Source organism: Homo sapiens, chromosome X (assembly GCF_000001405.40).
Source record: "Homo sapiens chromosome X, GRCh38.p14 Primary Assembly".
In the NCBI taxonomy this organism is placed as follows: Eukaryota; Metazoa; Chordata; class Mammalia; order Primates; family Hominidae; genus Homo; species Homo sapiens.
The window spans coordinates 72,136,295-72,156,561 of record NC_000023.11 but is presented as its reverse complement, the minus strand read 5'-3'; the positions used below and the strand labels follow the sequence as shown (position 1 = coordinate 72,156,561).

General features: G+C 45.5%; 1 protein-coding gene across 12 annotated transcripts in view, besides 1 other annotated feature; it reads right to left on the bottom strand.

Moving 5' to 3' along the window:
* NHSL2 (NHS like 2) overlaps positions 3,276-20,267 on the bottom strand; it is a 242,442-nt gene continuing 225,450 nt past the window's right edge. For 6 of the 12 annotated variants that reach the window (NM_001438805.1, NM_001438806.1, NM_001013627.3 and 3 more), the window contains 4 exons: positions 19,337-19,468; positions 15,791-18,121; positions 14,198-14,330; positions 3,276-13,309 (listed from right to left, as the gene is read on the bottom strand). In NM_001438805.1, the coding sequence (NP_001425734.1) occupies positions 12,988-13,309; positions 14,198-14,330; positions 15,791-18,121; positions 19,337-19,468 (2,918 nt within the window). In that variant the 3' untranslated portion in view covers positions 3,276-12,987. Of the gene's footprint in view, positions 13,310-14,197; positions 14,331-15,199; positions 18,122-19,336; positions 19,469-20,267 lie in introns of those variants that run through there. The other 6 variants (XM_047442065.1, XM_047442068.1, NM_001438807.1 and 3 more) reach the window with 3 other exon arrangements.
* Positions 14,603-14,652: an enhancer, noted in NCBI's record as "active region_29754". NCBI's record gives its function as "activates an Ori minimal core promoter by ATAC-STARR-seq in GM12878 lymphoblastoid cells {active_cell/tissue: GM12878}" and the evidence as "EXISTENCE:reporter gene assay evidence [ECO:0000049][PMID:35858748]".

Here is a 20,267-nt window from a genome sequence, read left to right as displayed (position 1 = left end):
AGGAGGCTGAAGAGGGAGGATTGCTTGAGCCCAGATGTTCAAGGCTGCAGTGAGCCATGATTGTGCCACTGCATTCCAGTTTGGGTAACAGAGCAAGACCCTGTCTCAAAAAAAGAAAGGTGGGGGTGGAATCAGAATAAGGATTTGTAAGTGTTTCGCCTGCACTATTCATGGGAGAAAGACACCTGTGATGGACAAAGAACTGTGTCACCAAGATCCCCCTTCAAGGGAGGATTTACTGCCAGCTGCTGAAAGTGGTGTCAGCAAAGAGCCTTCTTCAGCTATCAGTTCCTTCAGAGATTGCCTCAGCTTGAGACAGACATCTCACCCAAGGTCAAGCCCTTCATGGCATGGCCTAGAGCCAATGACTTATTGAAGCGGAGATATGAAGGCCTGCCCTTTGGCCCAATGCAGGACAATGGACAGGTCATGTGAATGCCAGAGCCAGCCATTGAGTGAGCAGAAGCTTTGTGACACCTGCATTGCTACTCTTTTCTCCTCCTAATTTTTTTTTTTTTAGATAGAGTCTTGCTGAGTCACCCAGGCTGGAGTACAGTGGTGCAATCTTGGTTCACTGCAACCTCTGCCTCCTGGGTTCAGTTCTCATGCCTCAGCCTCTCGAGTAGCTGGGACTACAGGTGCACACCACCACACCTGGCTAATTTTTGTATTTTTAATAGAGATGGGGTTTCGCCATGTTGTCCAGGCTGGTCTTGAACTCCTGACCTCAGGTGATCCGCTCGCCTCGGCTCCCAAAGTGCTGGGATTACAAGCGTGAGCCACCTTGCCCAGCTGCCTCCTGTCTAATCTTGTTTCCTTCCTTTCTCTTCCACAGATGTTGATTCCTAGGGCATTCCCTAGTAAACATCCCACACAGTAAACTCCATCTAAGCATATGCTTCCTGGGTTCTTCAACCTGTGATGACAACTTAAGGTAAGGGTCAAAAACTCATATGCCTTCAGGGACCTGACAGATAATATAAGGGAATGAAGCTGGTTGGGTTTGATGCAACAGGGAGTGGTGGGAGGTAAATTGGAGAGACGGCTCCATCTAAATTTTTTTTTTTTGAGACGGAGTCTTGCTCTGTCACCCACGCTGGAATGCTGTGGCGTGATCTCAGCTCACTACAACCTCTGCCTCCCAGGTTCAAGCAATTCTCCTCTCTCAGCCTCCCAAGCAGCTGGGACTACAGGCGCCTGCCACCACACCCGGCTAATTTTTGTATTTTTAGTAGAGATGTGGTTTCACCTTGTTGGTCAGGCTGGTCTCGAACTCCTGACCTCAGGTGATCTGCCCGCCTCGGCTCCCAAAGTGCTGGGATTACAAGTGTGAGCCACCTTGCCCAGCTGCCTCCTGTCTAATCTTGTTTCCTTCCTTTCTCTTCCACAGATATTGATCCCTAGAGCATTCCCTAGTAAACATCCCACACAGTAAACTCCATCTAAGCATGTGCTTCCTGGGTACTTCAACCTGTGATGACAACTTAATGTAAGGGTCAAAAACTCATATGCCTTCAGGGACCTGACAGATAATATAAGGGAATGAAGCTGGTTGGGTTTGATGCAACAGAGAGTGGTGGGAGGTAAATTGGAGAGACTGTGCTCCATCTAAATTTTTTTTTTTTTTGAGACGGAGTCTTGCTCTGTCACCCAGGCTGGAATGCTGCAGCGTGATCTCAGCTCACTGCAACCTCCACCTGCCAGGTTCAAGCAATTCTCCTCTCTCAGCCTCCCGAGTAGCTGGGACTACAAGCACCTGCCACCACACCCGGCTAATTTTTGTATTTTTAGTAGAGATGGGGTTTCACCTTATTGGTCAGGCTGGTCTCGAACTCCTGATCTCAGGTGATCCAACTGCCTCGGCCTTCCAAAGTACTAGGATTACAGGTGTGAGCCACCATGCCCAGTCCCCTAAATTTTTAAAAATTGACAAACAGCACTGTGTACTCTAGATAATGTATGTGAATTCAATTCAGCCTGCAGCCCTCCTGTTTATGACCTTTGTTTGAGAGGTATATTCTCTCTTCTGTTAATTAACATACCAGGACCTGTCTTTTGTGAGTTTGGTCAGTGTGAGTAAATCCTTAAAAGCTTCATCAGCTTATGGTGGTGTGGCACTGCTGTGGTTTGAATGTGTCCTTCAAAATTTGTGTGTTGGTCTTCGGTGGCAGTGCGGGGGGGTGGTGCGGGCATGATGGACTGGTGGCTTTATAAGAAGAAGAGAGACCTAGGATGGCATGCTCTTGCTCTCTTGCCATGTGATGTCCCCCACCCTGTTATGACTCAGTAAGAAGGCCCTCTCCAGATGCAGCAACGTGTCCTTGGACTTTTCAGCCTCCAGAACTGTAAGAAACAAGTGGATTTCTTTTCTTTATTAATTACTCGGTCTATGGTATTCTGTTATAGCAACAGAAAATGAACTAAGACAGGTACAAAGGAGTTCTGAACCTGCTGGAGTGAACACCAGACCCTGAACTGCAGGGTTCTACCAAGGGACTGCTTGCCATGAGGCCCACCTCAAGCTAGCTTCCTTTTCTGACCTTCATCTCCAACTTAAACACATGCTATTGTCTGAGGGTGGCCCTGGCCCCTCTCCCTTCCCTTGTAGGTTTTCTAGCTATTTCCAGTTCTGGTGTATCTTTTGGAAGAGCAGCCGGGTGGTGTCAGGGGCCTGGGGAGACAGGGATGCTGGCTACAAGAACCTCAGCCTTAGAGGCCTGGGACAGTTGGGAATAGAGAACAAAGTTCCTTTCTTCTTTTGATGAGATTTGACTCTCAAATATGGCTGTCACCATCTGCATGGTGGGACCATACCCTTCTTGAGGGATGGAAATGATCTGGACCACATTTGGTTTGGGATTTTTCCCTCCCAGCCCAGACTCACTCTGGTCTGCCTTGCTGGGTGACTTTATTGAGCTAGAGAACACAGAGGGAGTTTTTGCCCTGGGGATAGTTGCTAAGGCTGCCTCCTCCCCTCAGGCCTGGTGATGGCTGCTCACTCCCCCTTGTTGACTCCATGAACAGCTGGACTCAAATCCCTGAAATGAAGTCCCAGAACATGGGTTACCTGCCTTTAGGCCCATGGCTCAGTGGGCCAGGTTTCTGCAGGACATTCTGTGCCACATAGCTGTTTTGAGCTCTCAGGTTCGTGAGCATCAAAGCCAATGTGTGTGGGCCCCATACTCGTGTGGATGGTTAAACATGCTCAAAACTGGGCTGAGTGTCTGAATAAAAGTATCATTGCTACAATGAAAACCAGAGGGTGAAACAGAAAATGATTTTAACAGAAAAAGTTTATTTTAAGAAGACACAAACAGCTCTAGCTATATAAAGAATACAGTTCAATTGCTGGTAGCAAGCCAGTAAGGAATGCCTTTTTTTTTTTAAAGAAAGACAAGAAAAACCCTTTGTAATATCACCCCACAGAGGGCTCCCTTCCATTTTGTGTTGGAATCCTAAAAAGACTGAGATCGTGATCTCTCCTACTTTCTGCTTCTTCTTGAAATGTTAGGGACACATTCCCAGCTCTAGGAGATGTGTCTTTCCTGTACCTTCCAGTTTAGGGTATGGTCTGTAAATTCTTGTCTCCCTTATTTTTCTAAGTGCATTGTTGGCATTCAGTAAGCACTAAATGGTAAGGGCTAACTTAACAAAAGTCCACCTCTTGACTGCATACTAGGACTGGCCAATGCTCATTCCTCAGTTTGCTTTTGGCAAGTGTAGTATTTTTGCTGCTTTTGGATCCAAGGCACAAGCCTGGTTTCCCTTCCTAATTCTGGAAATCCTAAACAGAAGGCATAAAGGAACTGTTTCATGGATGCTTTTAAATAGGGAAATCCTGAAAATTACTTTCATCACTGATTTTTTAAAATTTAGATTTCAGTAAGTGGGTAGATCCCTGGGCTCAAATGACAGAAATCAAGCTAAAGATTCTAAGAAGCAATTTGCTGAGCTAGGATAAGCTGCAGCCTGAGACCTAGGTCTGAGTGGCTGAGTCCACATCAAATTAGAGTGCTAGCCCTCTGTATGTCAGCCTGTTTTGAATTGCCAATGGAAAGAAGGTCTCAAGAGGCAAGAAAGGGCAAATGCTTCAGGAGCCCCCACCATCCCCTTCTTGACCAGTCCCATCAGATCTGGACCTAAACCAGAGAACTGATGAGGGTGCTGGACTGTGTGTGTGTGTGTGTGTGTGTGTGTGTGTGTGCGCGCGCGCATGCACACACGCATGTATGGTGTGATTTGTGAATTAGCCCTCACAGTCCAGGTTGAGAAACCAAACTCACACAGACACATACATATCATCCATTCTTATCCCACAACGTTTATACGAGAAAATGTGAAAATGTGAATCTGAGCTTCAGACTCCCAAGAAGCATTAGAGGTGGAGATGGGAGCAGGATGGAGAGAGACGTGAAGAAGCTTTAGAACAGAATTCATTTAGAGATTCAAAACACAGGAGGAGGTGGTGTGCTGAATGTCTTGTGGCTGTGTTGTTGCATGGGCAATCCCAAGGAGCCCATCCCAGGGGCTGAGGGTCCAGAAGGCAGGGAAAAACTGTGGGCACAGAATATCTTCTGCACCTCATTGGTTTTCTTGCTAAGGCTGAGTGCTCTGTCTAGAACAGGTCCAAACTGCATTAGGAAATGGATACATGGATATTCTAGGTTTAAAAACCAGCCTTTGGAACCTGGTGATTTCCCTAGGAAATCGTAGGCTGAACTGGAATCCTATGGCCTGGGCTGCCAGACTTTCCAACGACAGCCCTAAACTCATGATACTAGTATGAGGCAGGAAAGGGTGGACAAGGGTGGGAGTCTCCAACCACAGATATGAGGGAGAAGTTATGGAACAAAATAAGTAAGAGAACTCAGAAATTCTCTCCTTCCAGTTTATCCCAAACCCAGGGAAGCAGAGGCACATTGGGTAACAAGGATAGGTCTGGGGAAAAAAATGAGGGTTTCTACACTGAGGTAGTCAGTAATGAGAGAGAGAGAGAGCTCATGAAGGACACTCTATTGAAGAGTAATGGTTGGCATATGCAGCCCCCCTCCACCTGCTCCTGTGCAGTCAGTCTGGTCTGACAATGCAGTAGATGGGAAGGCAATAAACCACATCAGCTACTGCACAACTCAGTTATCACATGGGGCAGCTCACAGAAATGCTTGTCTCAGAAGACAGTCTGGATCAGGGGTCAGCCTAAGGCTTTGCATAGCCCATGAGCTAAGAATAGTTTATATTGGCAGGGTGCGGTAGCTCACACCTGTAATCCCAGCACTTTGGGAGGCCGAGGTGGGCGGATCACAAGGTCAGGAGATCGAGAACATCCTGGCCAACATGGTGAAACTCTGCCTCTACTAAAAATACAAAAAAAAAAAAAATATTAGCTGGGCATGGTGGCACGCACCTATAGTCCCAGCTACTCGGGAAGCTGAGGCAGGAGAATTGCCTGAACCCGGGAGGTGGAGGTTGTAATGAGCCGAGATTGTACAATTGCCCTCCAGCCTGGCTACAGAGAGAGACTCTGTCAAAAAAAAAGAGAGTGGTTTACATTATCCAAAGGTTGCAAAACAAACGAATGAACAAACAGCAACAACAAAGAAGAATGTGCTACAGAGACCACATGTAGCCCACAAAGCCTAAAATAGTTACTGTCTTAACCTTTACAGAATTTGTCAATCTCCCATCTAGATGATGGGGGAAACCTCACCAATCTCTGGTGAGAAGCCTCTAAGCATCCTCGAAAAGAGAAACGAGAGGAAGTCCAGGAGAAACAAGGGAACAATGGAAAATAAATGGAAATGCCAATCAATTTGACTAGTGTGGCTCTAAAAGATGCATGGCTTGCAATTCCACAGAATAGTAAGGTATGCATGTACTAAGGAAGGAGGCCCCAACTAAAGAGAGAGCCACACTAAGGAACATTAGGCAAAGAATGTTCTGGAAAAGAGACTGCATGCGGAGCTTAGTACTGATTAGGGAATTCTGTTATTGTTTGATAAGATGGAGCTGGAATTTGAGCCCAGGGATTGACAGAATATCAAGCCAGGTGAAATTTCTAGAACACAACTAAATATCTCATGAGCATTTAACAGTCTGAAAATTTCTCATAAAGATTAAGAAGGGAAGGCTAAAGTAGACTCTGGGAAAGCTAATATTGGTTGGGTTGTACCCTACTTTTAAATAAACACCAAATACAAAAGTTTGCACTAAAAAAAGTAGAGACATTATGGGACAATGACAAGAGGAATCTCGGTTTTTCAAAAAGAAGTCACCAGAAGGTTCCCTTACATAGGAAGTTTACCTCTAAAAAATGATACTTGATATCTAAAAAACTCATTTTTCACACAACTTTTAGGGAAAACATCCATTGTACTAAGTAGGGTGCACATATTGAATTTGGAGGGAAACTAATGTTTATAAACTGAAAATCCAATTTGTCTTTGGATTAATGAATTAAAGAACTCTTGAACATTTTCCCTTAAAGCATATATATTAGTTCATTGAAATACCTGGGAAATTCATGTGTCATAAAAGTAGAAGCCAGCTGTGGGTCTTCTATAAATTGTAGTGCTTTAAATGAAACCAGATTGGGCCCAAGGGCAGGAGACCTGGAATTGAGGCTGGGCCCCACCACTGACTCACTGTGTGACCTTGTATATAAGTTATTTGACCTTTCTGGGCCTCAGCTTCCTCATGTGTGAAATGAGAGAGGTTGGTCCCTTTCAGCTCTAACATTCCAAGACTGCAGATAAATATAGAAATAAGATAAATACAACAATCTAGAAATAAGAAATATAGCCCAAAGTAAGCTTTGGAGTCAGTAGAAAAAAGTAGCAGTGAAATATAATAAAAAGAATAAAACTTTAACCACTAGCCAGGGTAAATATATCTCATTTAAAAATGAATGAAAAGGTTTGTAATTTACAATTCATCAGAAGACCTCAGCACATACATATATTGATATTTCTTCGCCATGATACACATGGGGGAAGGAATGAGTTTGAGGTGACTTGTACAATGAGCACAATGCTGCGTTTGCATGCACAACATTTTATAAAATTGGATGTTAGAAAAAGCTCAAGACCACCTAAGGAATAAATGTCTATAAAGCTTGGCATTACAAAGAGGCTGAGAGGGGTTAACTAGTTGTTCCAGTTCAGATTTTGTTTTGGAGTTCGTTGCTATCAAATTCTACTATTTAGGCAAAAATCTTAAAATCAAATATACTTCTGCCAGAGCCTTACTGGAGAACAGCCACCACGGTAAAGACAGGTATTTAAGAGCTGGCAATACCAAACAAACTTAACACCTTTCCCTTTTTTCCATTTGTGAGTTAAAAAAAATCTTTTTTTTTTTTTTAAACCCAAAGCAGGCCAGATGGGCTGGCTAAGTCTAATCAAAGATTTTGCAGGTTGAGCAATTTGTTGATCCAATATGATAAGTTCTTTTTAATTTTTTTCGAGCATATGCACCGGAGTCCCATAAAACATGAGACTCCTCAATCTGATAATTTCTTAAAACCAAGCAAACATATGCCTGACCAAGATAACAATATACACCTCTTGGCCAGAGACTGGTCCTTATGATGAGAGCCAGAATAATGGTAAAGGTTGGAATCAGTTGGAGAGTCGTGGCTATAGTGATTCAGGGGCTTGAAGGAGTAACATCACTGGAATGCACATACACACACACACACACACACACACACACACACACACACATACACTCTCTCTCTCTCTCTTTCTCCCTCTCCAGGGATGCTGCTGTTGCTGCTCCTGGAACTGCACTTTGAGAACCATTGGCCTAGATTTTGGGCTTTACTGAACAAAAGTATAATGCCCATTTCACATTGCTCATTACTCATGCAAATTTCTTCTTGCTAACCTTATTAAAAATGCCCCAAATGTGTGTCTATAACTATTTACTATGTATTCCTCTATAAATCTGTTTCAAAGTATTCTAAAATTTGCTTATTTCATATTATGTTTATATCATTATACTTTTTGCTGCCTTTTGACAAAGGCACTTCCTTATACATCTTTCCCACTCTCTTATCCTTTTAAATCCCTAATATCCTTGTCACTTGTAGCTGAAATACATGCAAAGCCTTTGAAAGGATTGGGGGCTGTGGTATAGATATAGTCTCATTTTCACACCAAGCTGGACTGATAGCCCATAACAGAGATGAAGCAGGGAAAGCAGAAGCTTGTAAAGGTAAGCTTATTGGAGGTAAAGTTGTACCTCCAATAAGTTTAATAATCACCACCAATACTGGACGACTGACATTGATTGGACATGGATTGGACAGTTTCACCTTTCACAAACAGGACATATTTTCACAGACTCTTCAATTCCTTGTGTTCTTTACTCAAATGGTAAGTAGTATTAATTCCATTTATGTAAAAATGTCAATGTACAATATGAATGATCTAGGCCTTCTCAGTGGCTTTTAGTAGCCATTTCTGAGAGTCCCTTGGTAGTAACCATATTGAATAGCATTGGATATCAGGACAATTTAATTGACCATCAGCTAGTAACTCAAATGATTCCAGGCGATTAAGATATTTTCTATATTCTGGAGTTAGGCGTCAGGGAATTTGGCCTTTCCATGGTGAAAAATACACTTCTACAACTAGTTGATGCCTAACATTCTGCAAGTAGAACTTCATTCCATTGGCTTAAGGCTTTTCCCTTGTTAAAATGCAACTGACCCTCAAAAGAGGTAGCATTAAGCCTTATAATCTCAAAGTAAATGAATTTATCCCTTTCCTGAGAGCAGGTTTTTCTTAGGAGGAGAAGGAAGTAGGAGGCACTGAAGAGAGTTGGTGCTGGGAAGCAAGGTTTAGGAGAATGGAGCAGAAAGAGGAGAGGGAGGATCCTGGTGACAGACCGTCAACTCAGTCACTCTTTTGTTGAAGGGCTGGCCTTGGGAGCATCCCTGCTGAAATGGGTGTTAACTTGCCACCTGGAGCATATTACTTAGAAATCAACTATGTTTTCCGATATTAACACTATTAAAGATTCTTTAATGTATAGGCACACAAAGACTTATAGCAATGGAAAAATAGGTAGCAATAAAATATTTGGTGCAACAAGAGATAGGGAGTTAACCCCCGACCCCAAATCAGAAGGACTATACTTGTTCATAGGAAGAAGATAAACTGATATTACTTTAAAGAGTGCAAATCACAGGGCTGGGACGAGGGTAAGGCACTTGCATGGCCCTGAGAGCGGGCACCTCTTTGAATTTTACGCCCTAGGTGCCTCGCTCACCTCACCCTAGTCCTGGCCCTAGCAAATCATATTAAAGCGAAAGCTCACCATTGTGTCACAGACTTGATAATGGAAGGTGGAACGAGTGAGGAACAGAGCACTGAGCATGAACTCATCTTTTTCCCAACTTGTTCATTGATGAGGAAGAGGGCAGGTGCGTGGACAGATCTGCTCAGACTGACAGGTACAGAGAGACTGCAATCGGGTCTGTGTTGTCCAGATAGTTACACTGGATGTCAGGTGCAGTGCTTGTTAGGAGAGCCTGGTAGGATCTCCTCTGTCTTTGCACGTTCAAGGTAATTTATCCAGATCAACTGGTCAGTTTGTGGTCATTAAGCTAACATTAATTATTTTGCTTCCTGTTGTCTCACTTCCTTTATGGGTGAGTTGTTGTGCTAGGGATGCAGTTCATGGGATTTGGGGCTGAGGGATAAGTTGGGGCTGAGGAATAAGTTGGGGCTGGTGGGGGAGGCCCAGTCAGGAGCTGAGGCAGGCCAAGTAGTACAGGATAAGGAGAGGAGACACCAGCAAAGCTTGCTATTGTACCAAGAATAACTACCCTCAAAAACATGTACTGACTACCCACCAAATGCAAAGCATCCTTGGTTAACAATTAACCTCCGCTCCTGGGGATGGTGACTAGATCAAAGTCAGGCTAGCAGAGCCATCTGTTGCTACTAACTGGAATGGGGAGGAAAAAAGAGGATAGGGACGACTTGAAATGGAAGCTGAGCTCCTAGGGCCAACTTCATTTCACTCAAATCTCTTCTCTATTCCACCTTCAAAAATTATTATCATTATTATTTATACTAGTAATTGTAGTAGTGGTGGGTTCTCTGCAAGCCTTTCTGAGAGGGGCTTTCAGCCTCTCTTCTCCAGTCTCAGCAGCGTAGGTGCAGAAGGCAGCAAACATTGTGGTAAGTGCCTGGGTGGGAGAGAGAGTGGAGTTATGATAATCAAAGGTAGGAGAGAGGTTGAGTGTTAGGAGTGGGGAAGATGCTTTGTGTTCTGTTAATTAGTGATTAGTAGAAATTTTACAGTTTGGTTGTTTATTTGGGACGTCTACCTGTTGCAAAATATTAAATGAGGCCAGGTGCAGTGGCTTACTCCTTTAATCCCAGCACTTTGGGAGGCCAAGGCGAGAGGATCGCTTGAGCTCAGGAGTTCAAGACCAGCGTGGGCAACATAGCAAAACCCCCATCTTTACAAAAAATTAATTTAAAAAATTAAATGAATACTTCCGGTCTTAAATGTTCTCTCTGACCATATGATTTCTGCCCCAAATCCTCTTGTGCTAATGGGAACACCACTGCGTGGGCCACAGTGATGATGTAGAAGATATTCTAAAAATTCCAGGCATATAGAGTATTGTAGAGGAAAACAAGACTAAAGGTAACTGACAAACATCAAGGTGTCTGAGAATTCAGGTTCAGAATCTTTTGGGAAAACCTCCAGAGGTAGCAAGGTGAGGGGAGAGGCAAAACCCATTAGAAGTAGTAAACAAGAAACTTCCAGAAAAGTCCACAGAAGTAACAAGGCCTATACTATGTGAGTCCCATACTCAGCTTTAACGTTCAACCAGTCATAATGGTTCCCAAGGAGACCCTGGTGTCCTTTCATTTTTGCTAAGCAAAAGCACAAACGCTCCTTCATTTACTACAGAGGAAAATGTCTGTTTTTTGGAATTCTAAGTCTGGAGCAGACAAATGTGGCATTCATATATAAACTGAGGCCAGGGATGAATTGATTTTATTTTGGGCAAAATCCCTGGAATTTGGAATTTGGTTAAGAACTTCACACCAAGTAGTTCTAGTACTTTCAAAAGCAACTGAGCCTAGCTGTTTTATTATTTTAAGTGTCGAAGTGCTGGTTGCAAGGGAGTTGGTGGGCCTGGCCTGTTTCCAGAAGTCTCAGATTCAGAACTATAACAACAAAGGGCCTAGGCCTAGGGCTTCTCTTGTGAGAGGCCCAAGTTTTCTCAGTACTTAGTGTGGTTTTTCAGCTGCTCTGTCCAGCTGGAGTGTGGGCAGTTGAGCTAAAAGGTGGCTTCTCATTGGGCAATACGACCTATCAAAGTTGAGATCTGCTTGTCTCTGGAACCTTACTGCATCCTCCAGGAGGTTGACCATTGAATCTATTGGGTGAGGGGTGAAGTAGGAAGGGGCTGGGGAACTCTCTTTGTGAAGCAGGCTACAATTTCATTCAACTGTTCTTTTTGCCTCTTGAAGACAGTAGACAATTAACTTTCCATCATTGGTCAGCAGGTTTTCTTTGCTCAGTGCTTTGTCTTCCTCCCCAACCTCCCAGAAATCAGGCATACAAAAATCAAATGAATCACTGCTCTTGCTCTGCTTAGAAAATTGAGCTGACAAGAATAGTTAGTGCCTATAAGCTTCGTGGGGGGTGGGGGCAGGGAGGGGTCGCAATGATTATTCTGAAGCTCTTTCAGTATGCCATTTACCCAGGTTCTTATGCTCTCCCCCAGCAAGGTTAATTGAAAGCTGGTCAAACACAGAACCTAAATGGCAAAAAGTAGCCCTTTTGTGTGTGTGTGTGTGTGTGTGTGTGTGTGTGTGTGTGTGTGCATTATGGGCCATAGCAACTGGCAAGACTGCCTTTTAGATTTTGGATAGATCCTTTTAGTTTATATGTTCTTGGTTTTTGGAACAGAGTCGGACTTCCTTTAAACAAAACCAAACCAACCACAAACCACGATCTGAATTGACTGGTGGGGGGCAAGATGCACTTACTTTCCATTATCCTTGAGCCTTTGATGATGCTGTTCCTTCAGTTAATTACTTCCTGTAATGAATTTTATATGCAAATGAAATGAGAGTTCTTAGAATGCAGCATGAGCTGGGCGCAGATCCTGCCTATCGCTGTTGACAGACACATGGAGGATCTCAAGGTGCACTTGTGAGTTACCTCGGCTAGATCTGAGTGAACAAATGGCTGTCTTGTTTGTTGGTCAAGCTTGGTTCATTTAAAGCAACCCAGTCCTGGTCTTTTCTAGCTAATGGGGGTGGGTGGGGGGGCGTCTATATGTTTATTGAAACTTATCACCCTGATCTCCATGTAGACAATCAAACTGAAAAAGGCATTAAGTTTCAGGACAGAGTCACAGTCATATTTTGCACCACAAAAGCCATCCAATCAACCTCATGCCGAAATAAGTGCACCCTGCAAACCTCTTGTGAGCGCAGGGGAAAGCTAAACTGTGGTTGAGGAGGCATCAGAGTCTTTCTGTGTTTGCACACAGGGCCATCAGAGCCTCCCTAGGAAAGTGAATAATAAGCAATGGCACCCTATGCCCCCCAAGTTTGGCAGCCTCCAATCTGCTCTCACACTGCACTCCTCAGTGACAGGAGCCAGGGATGGAGCAGCCGGGTCACTGAATTGAAAAAGTGGCACATGTGCCCTGACATCTGAAAATTTCTTCTTAGTTAGTGCACACCACTGGGGGAAAATAAGAAGAAACTCGGTAGTCAGTCATGACAAGCTTATAAGTATGAAAACATAAAAATGTCTGAAGATGATTAAGTGCCAGATGATTTTAGCTCTAGATGAAGTAGCCTCTCTCCTGCTGTCCAGAGTGTGAGTTAATATAAAAGAAATGTAGGCTCTGTTGTTCCCATGGTTCTGTTTAAAGACCCTTTCTCTTCCCCCTTCTCTACTCAAGTTTAGTAAGTAAACCCTGCTTGTTGAGCCCAGGGCTTAGGTACTGGGGTTATCGGTGGTTTCATAGTCTTTTGAAAATTGTGCAATAATTCTCCGAGCCAGTGGGTTAGTGGTCTTCAGAAGTTCAGCTGCTGAGGGACGAGACCTTGGAGTTGCCTTACTTCCCTTCTTCTGTAGCAAGGCCTTGAAATCGTCATTTCTGCCAGCATCTAGGTTGGCACTGCTGCCTGACCCTGCAGTGGCGGTAGACTCACTGATTGGAGACTCAGCTGTGTTCTTTATTGGTGAGTGGGAACTCGTTCTGCCACCCACAAAGGCCTCACCAGGTTCCTTCCAGCCGAGCAGCTTCCTTTTGGACCTAGATAAGAGAAAGTTTGGTCTGAGTGAGTTAATGCAGCAGACATTTACCAGTGCTTCACAGACCCCCATGCCTGTGACACAATCCAGGCGGCAGCCCTGCAAGCAGCCGTATTGACCTGCTTTCTCTCTCTCTCACCTCTAAATCCTCAGAGTCCCTTGTTGGGCCCTCCCGTCCCCATATTCCTTTCAATGCCCCCAGCTGGAGTCACTTGTCCTGTGCCTGTAGCCTCAGTCCTGCCCAGGTTCTGGGACCAAGGACGAATTTCAGGAGTCAAGGCTAGTAGCTCAGTGACTCTGAATCAGGACAGCCTGGGGACTGATCCTGTTCTGGACTGGTGGTCTAGCTCCAATAATAAACTCTTCCCAGTTTTCTTGTCACTGAACCCCTGCCTTGTAACCCTGTCCAATAACTGGTCCCCATCTGGTTCCTCTTTTCCTAAGTTCCTGTTTTGATATGCTGCCTGGTGCCCCACTTCAACTCTTGATGGGATTTTTTTGATACAAGGAATTCTGTGAAGGGTTAAATGTCTCTGACTATAGACAGAGCTAAGAGAGAGCAGATGGAGCCACAATAGGCCAAGTGGTTGCTAGGAGACGAGGGGCCTCTCACTCGGCACCTGGTCCTCCTCTCCCCTCCCTTCCTCCACTTTACCCAACGATGTCAGTGAATTTGAGATGCGAGGCCCTGGACTGCGCTCACATATGTGGGTATCTGAACTTAGCCTCCAGGTGCAATTCTAATGGCTGCTTAAAGGTAGCAGTTTTTCTTATTTTTAATTTTTTTCTTTTTCTTTTACAATTAGGATTTCAATGTGGAATAGCAGGTTTTCTTTAAGTACAAAAAGGGAAGGCAATTGCAATTAGAATTAAGGAAATTGGTGCAGACCTGTGTATCACAGTAAATAAATCTTCAGTTGTGCGTGAAGCCACAAACACGTCATCATCATCCTCTGCAATCCATTCAGCTGTTTTATCACTGATTAAACTTTTTTCTTCGGTGCCTGGTTCCACAGAACTCCCTAGACATAAAAAACCAAAAGGAATGACTTTGACCACAGTAGATAGGACAAAGCACATTCTCATATGTTATTTCATTTGATGGTGAAAGCAACTCTGTGAGGGCAGCAGGGTGGAGATTTTTAATACCTCCATTTTGCAGAGGAGGAATATGAAGTTCAGAAGCTTAATGATTTGCCCAAGGTGGAGTGAGTGGTGAAGATCAGCGTGGGTCCCTATTCTGTCATGTCTTTGTCATTATAACAGGTGGCCCGAGCATTCTCTTGTTTTAAACACTGTATATCATTTCTCCAAATGAAGGAGCTGGGAGTGATCTAAACTAGTGACTCCCACCCAGTGGGTGAGAGTGGAACCTATTTGAATCTCAGAGGGGAGCCTGTGGAGTCTGAGGAAGTGTTTTCTACAACTACCTGGGGCTTTGATTTATTTACTTGACTTAGTCATAATTGACTCATATTGAAAGTCCAAATTTGCATATAGAAGGCCATGAGATTTTGATTTTTGGTGTTAAGGGTTCAGAAAAGAATGAGAAACATGGATGAACCCTGACAACATTAAGCTTAGTGGAATAAGCCAGTCACAAAAAGACAAATACTGTATGATTCCACTTATATGAGGTGTCTAGAGTCAAATTCATAGAGACAGAAAGTAGAATGGTGGTTGGAGGGAGGAATCTGCGGGGAGGGAGAAGGAGGAGTTGTTGTTTACTGGGTACAGAGTTTCAGTTTTGCAAGATGAAAGGAGTTCGGGAGATTGGTTGCTTAACAATGTGAATGTGCTTAACACGAATGAACTGCACACTTAAAAATGGTCAAGATGGTAAATGTTATGGGTACTTTACCACAATTAAAACAAAAAGAGACAGAAAAAGAAAGGATGAGAAGCATTATGTATTATGTTTATGGTTCCAGGAAGAGCCAAAGAACTCAAACCACCCAAGAAAGTGAGCTCCCTTTCCTCCGGAAGGCACAAAAAGAGGCTGCTGGTGGCAACATATTCCGTTGTTTCAGATGGCTCCGAGCCTGCCATGGCACTTGAACTCAGTCTGGTGGGGTACTGGGTCCCATGTAGGGAACTAAATTCACTGCAGCCAATGAAAAGTACTGTACAGTGAGGTGGAGTAGTTCCCAAGACAGGATGCATGCTTGGCTAGGGATGTGGGATGCTGAAGTCCTAGGGTGCTAGAACCTAGTTTGATTTCATTATCTCAGCACTAGAGATTTAGAGGGGAGAGTGGCCTAAACTGGGCCTTGGAGATCTGCCTCGGGCTAGTCTTGATCTCAAGGGCAGTAAGGCCAGCCCGTGGTTCCTATTTAGAGTAACTCAAACCCTCAAAGGGTGCCCGCTACTGACTTGGGATCAGGATAATTATTCTGGGGCATCTGCTTCCATCTCTGGCACTCCATTCTCACCCTCATCTCTCCTGTGACTGAAGGAAAAAGCCAGCAGACAGTTTACTAACCCAGAGGGCTTGCCTCCCTTTCACTGTCAGCCTGAGGAGTTGAAGTCACCCTTTGACCAAGTGATTGCAGGTCATCGCCGGTGGCGGGACACTTGGTGTCTTCCTCCAGGGTGATGATGGGGCTGAGAGGCAGCCTTGGTTCTGCCACATAGGCCTCCATTTGAGCTGTGGGAGAAGTGAGAGGCAGGTACAGCACGCTGGGTTTTTTTGGTACGGGAGGTGGAATCTTGCCTTTCTTTTTCTCAGCTTCTTCCTGGCTCTGGAGGCTAATTCTTTCAGGCAGAACCCTCACCTTGGGGCCCTCGTCCTCTACACTTCCCTGGGGAGGCTGCTGTGTTCCTGAGAAGAAAGCATCAGAGGAACTGGCAAAAGGCGTGAAAACAAGAGATGAGGGTGCTGTTGACTCCCCTGGGCTTCTGCCATCTGGGAAGCTGGAGGGCTTTGGTTTCCGCACTACCGTGTAGCTGTCTTGAGGGAGTGGTCTCGCATGTTGAATTGAGCTCCTGGGGGGCATAGCCAAGGTTGGTGAAGTTAGTGCATACTCCTCAGGAACAGATGGTGGCTTGTGGACCAAGCTTGGAGGCCTCCGGGCCACCGGAGGCTTCTCAGCTACGGGAGGTTTTGTCTTTCTCTCTGGCAAGGTGAAGACTTCTTCTGCTCTGGGTTCCTCGGCATACTCAGGGCTCTCAATATCATCTTCCGGCTCAGACTTGCTGACCGACCTCAGGCGAACAGAACGTAGGTCGGACTGAGTAACCATAGGCATGATTGGCTGGTTGGGATTAGTTTTCTGGGCCAGCTTGACGCCAAAATTTGTCTCTGAGTGGTGCCGACTCACCTTAGTTTTGCTTCGGATGGAGATACTCATCCCAGACAGATCCAGGTTGGGTGAAGAGGTCAGTGGTAGGTCAAATGATAGCCGTGACTTGGGAAATTTCTCCATTGGTGACGTCGGGGGTAGTGATGACTTCCTCTCAGGTACCACTGGACGTACCCGGACACTGCTGCTTGGAGGGGGTAAGTGGCCCAGGGTCAGGGACATGGAAACAGTGGGTGTTGGTGTTTCCGACTGGCTGGAGTAGCCACTGGAGGGTGACATCAGTCCAGGGGGCCTTCCCGGGGATGATATCTCCCTGGCCTCCACTTCAATGGAGAGTTGGGAAGGTGTAGTGGCTCTGGAGGTGGAAGGTGAGGCAAGAGACTCTGAGCTGCCCTGAACTTGGGTGCACTCAATGACTGTGGTGCCAGTGGCAGTGCTGGAGCTGGACAGGGATTGGTAGGTGTCACCAGACTTCCAGTCAGTAAGATACCAGTGGTGGGAGAATTGTGTACTTTCTGGATCTTTGTGGTTTGGAATAGCTGGGTGACCCTGAGCATCTGGGTGGGACGAGTGATGTCCTTGATGTTCCAAGGAGAGGCAAAGGCTCTTGGGCCTCTGGTCCTTGGGTAGTGCTGACCCACCTTCAGGCAAGAGGCCTGGCTCATCTTTGACCAGTGAGACACTGCGTGTGGGTGGGGAAGGCTTCTTTTTGGCCTTCCTAAGTGAGATACTCTTGGACCTCTGCCTTCTGTGCTGGGCCTCTTGCTGGGCACTAAGGGAGGCAATGTTGTCAGCACTGTTACTGCCCTCAGAGCTCGTACTGGCAAAAGGCAGGGCACAGGCCTCATTGGCCTTCTGCTCCTCATCATAGTCCACATCTGTGGTGCCTGAGTCTGTGGGCACAGACAGTGACCGCTCCCGGAATCTGCTGGCCCCACCGGGGCCTGTCTCCAGCCTCGAGGTCCCACTGGTCAGAAGGCCAATCTTGGAGGGTCTTTCGGGCATGTGCCTTTGCTGAATAAGGCGCTCAGGGTAGCCAGCTGACCCACTGCATCCTGCTGGGTTATCACGAGCGACAAGGAGGGTAGCAGCCTCCTTAGGAACCAGAGGTGGGACTTTGTTTAGAGAGACCCAAGAATTCCCACAGGAAGGATTTTTCCCATTTTCATTGACTTGATTGCTCTGGCTGGTGGCACTTGGAGTCATGTAGGTAAAAGCATCTCCCTTCCAGGAAGTGGAGAAGGTTGATTCTGTAGGTCCATTGCAAGAACTGGGGACACTGTACACCATTCCCATGCTCTCCATGCCAGGAGGGTTTGGGCCACTCCGTGCCTGGTGAGGTTCGTCCGGCTCACTGGAAGGAGTTCTCAGTACTGGCGAGGTGAGACTTGGGAACCGAGCATCCTGACCAACTGCAACTCTTCCATGAACCCCTTCTGGAACTGAGTGACTGGGCCTGATGTCGGAGGTGGTAGAGTGGGCCACACTGCCTGCTGGGCTGTTGCTGTGACCTGGAGGAAATAAACACAGGACATGAGTGCTACAGCAAGGGATCTCCCACCAGCTGTTTTGAGACAGGAGCACCAACTTTTTGCCAAGAAGCATTTGCCAACAGCTTGGTCAGAATTCCTTGGTTCTTCCCTTCCATGGATGAAGATGCTGGGGAAATTGGGTCCTTGCCCATCACCCCACAGTGAGACATACGGTGCCCTTGAATGGTCCAGATGGCTGCCAAATACTTTCCAGCTTTGATTATTCCTCTTAGAGCTGAAGTGTCACGTGGGATTACCTTGCATTTTCCCCATACTTTCACCCCAGGCTCATGAAACCATCACAGACCTCAGCATTCATCCATCTAGAGATGAGAGTAGAGGCTTCCGAACTAAGGACGGCATGGTGTGACGTTTGGCTCCAGCAATGACTCTGGAGCATGCCCAAGATGCAAAGCTAAGAGTCTGGTTGCATTGTTCGCACCCATCACTTTTAGGCTTTGCAACATAAGAGGCTGAGGATAATCTACGGATGTGAGGAAACCGTTTGGATGTTCCAAATCCCCAAAGGTTTTCTCATACACACAAACAATTAATACTGTCATGTCATTATTATTATTATTATAACTACTACTGCTATGAGAATTTGTAACAATAGCCACCATTTATTGGACACTGACTATGTACCAGGCACATGGTAGGCAAGTTACATACAATAACGCTAATCTTCATGCTAATTCCACCATGTCAGTATCATTATCCCCACTTTATAGATGAAGAAGCTGAGGCTCAGAGAGGTTATGTCACTTGGCCAAGGTCTCCTGGTTAGTAAGCGGAAAGACCAGGGCTCTTACCCTCTGCTATCTCCCTGGTCTGTGCTCCTGGCCAGCATTCACTTAATGGTAGTAATGGTTCTGTTAAGATGATGGTGAGGAACCCTCTCTCTTCATCTATTTGCCTAAATTTGGCATATCTGGTTGTATTACATTTATAATGGGAAACAATAATGTAATGGATTCATTAGCCCGGAAGACCTACTCTCCATATTCAGTTGCCACCCTTGACAAGAGGCCCTTAGCTATTCTTAATTACCATATTGGCTTTTTCAGGACATCCGGAGGCCCCCTCCTCCACCCAATTATTCCTGTTCCCCATCACCACAGTACCACCTGGGTGGCAGGATTGGCAGGAGTGGGTAAGGGGAAGGGACTGGGGAATCAGCTGTGGTGGGGTCACCTTGGTCTCGCTGGGAAAAGTTAGAGAATCCAATAATGGTCCGCCTCCGCCTCAGGGTGGACTTGGGGTTCACGGCTGTCTCTGTGTTAAACAACGAGTGTCGCAAACTTGCATGTTTATCAAACTGCTGCCCTGTAGCCAAAATAAAGACACTTGGGTGCATCCTGGTTTCTGTTTAAAGCACGGTGGAAATTGGCCTGAGAGAAGAGAATGATGGCAGTCGTGATAAGCATGAATAGCATCCAAGGCAGGTGGCACTTCTTCCTCATCCTTCCCAACTTGGCCCTGGGAATGCATGCTGGGTTTCCCAGGCTGCACCCAGGTTGCCTGTAAGTTTTAGGTGGCCTGGGGCAGTGGTTTTCAACCCTGGGCTACATATTAAACTCAACTGGGCAGCTTTTGAAACTGCAACACCTGGACCTTACCCCAGAACACTGAAATCTCTGGGAGTAGGGCTCAGGTAGAAGCATTTTCTAGAAGTCTTCAAGTGATTATTCAGAGGTACAGCCAGGGGTGAGAACCACTGGTGTAGAGCAGCGGACTGGGACTAGATGCTGCTTGACTGTGATCTTTTCTCAGAGAAGGCCTTTATATGGGCCAGGTGAGGCCAGTGTCTCCAAGAGGCTGCCCTACTGCCCTCCACCATCCAGGAAGATGCCTGATAGTCTGTCCTACAGTCACCTGGTCACATTTTACCAAAGCTGGCTCACAGCATGGTGATTGAGCTCTATTTCTTTCTCTTTCTCTCTCTCTCTTTTTTTCCTGGCACTGGCTTTTCAATTTAGGAAAATTATTGACACAGATTATAGTTATCACTTCATCTGAGTTACATGGTACTTTCAAAATATCTGTTAATTCAGTTTGTTTACTGACTTGATAATGTTTTCAAATTCAACACAATTAAAATGGAATATTTCCTCAATAATATGCC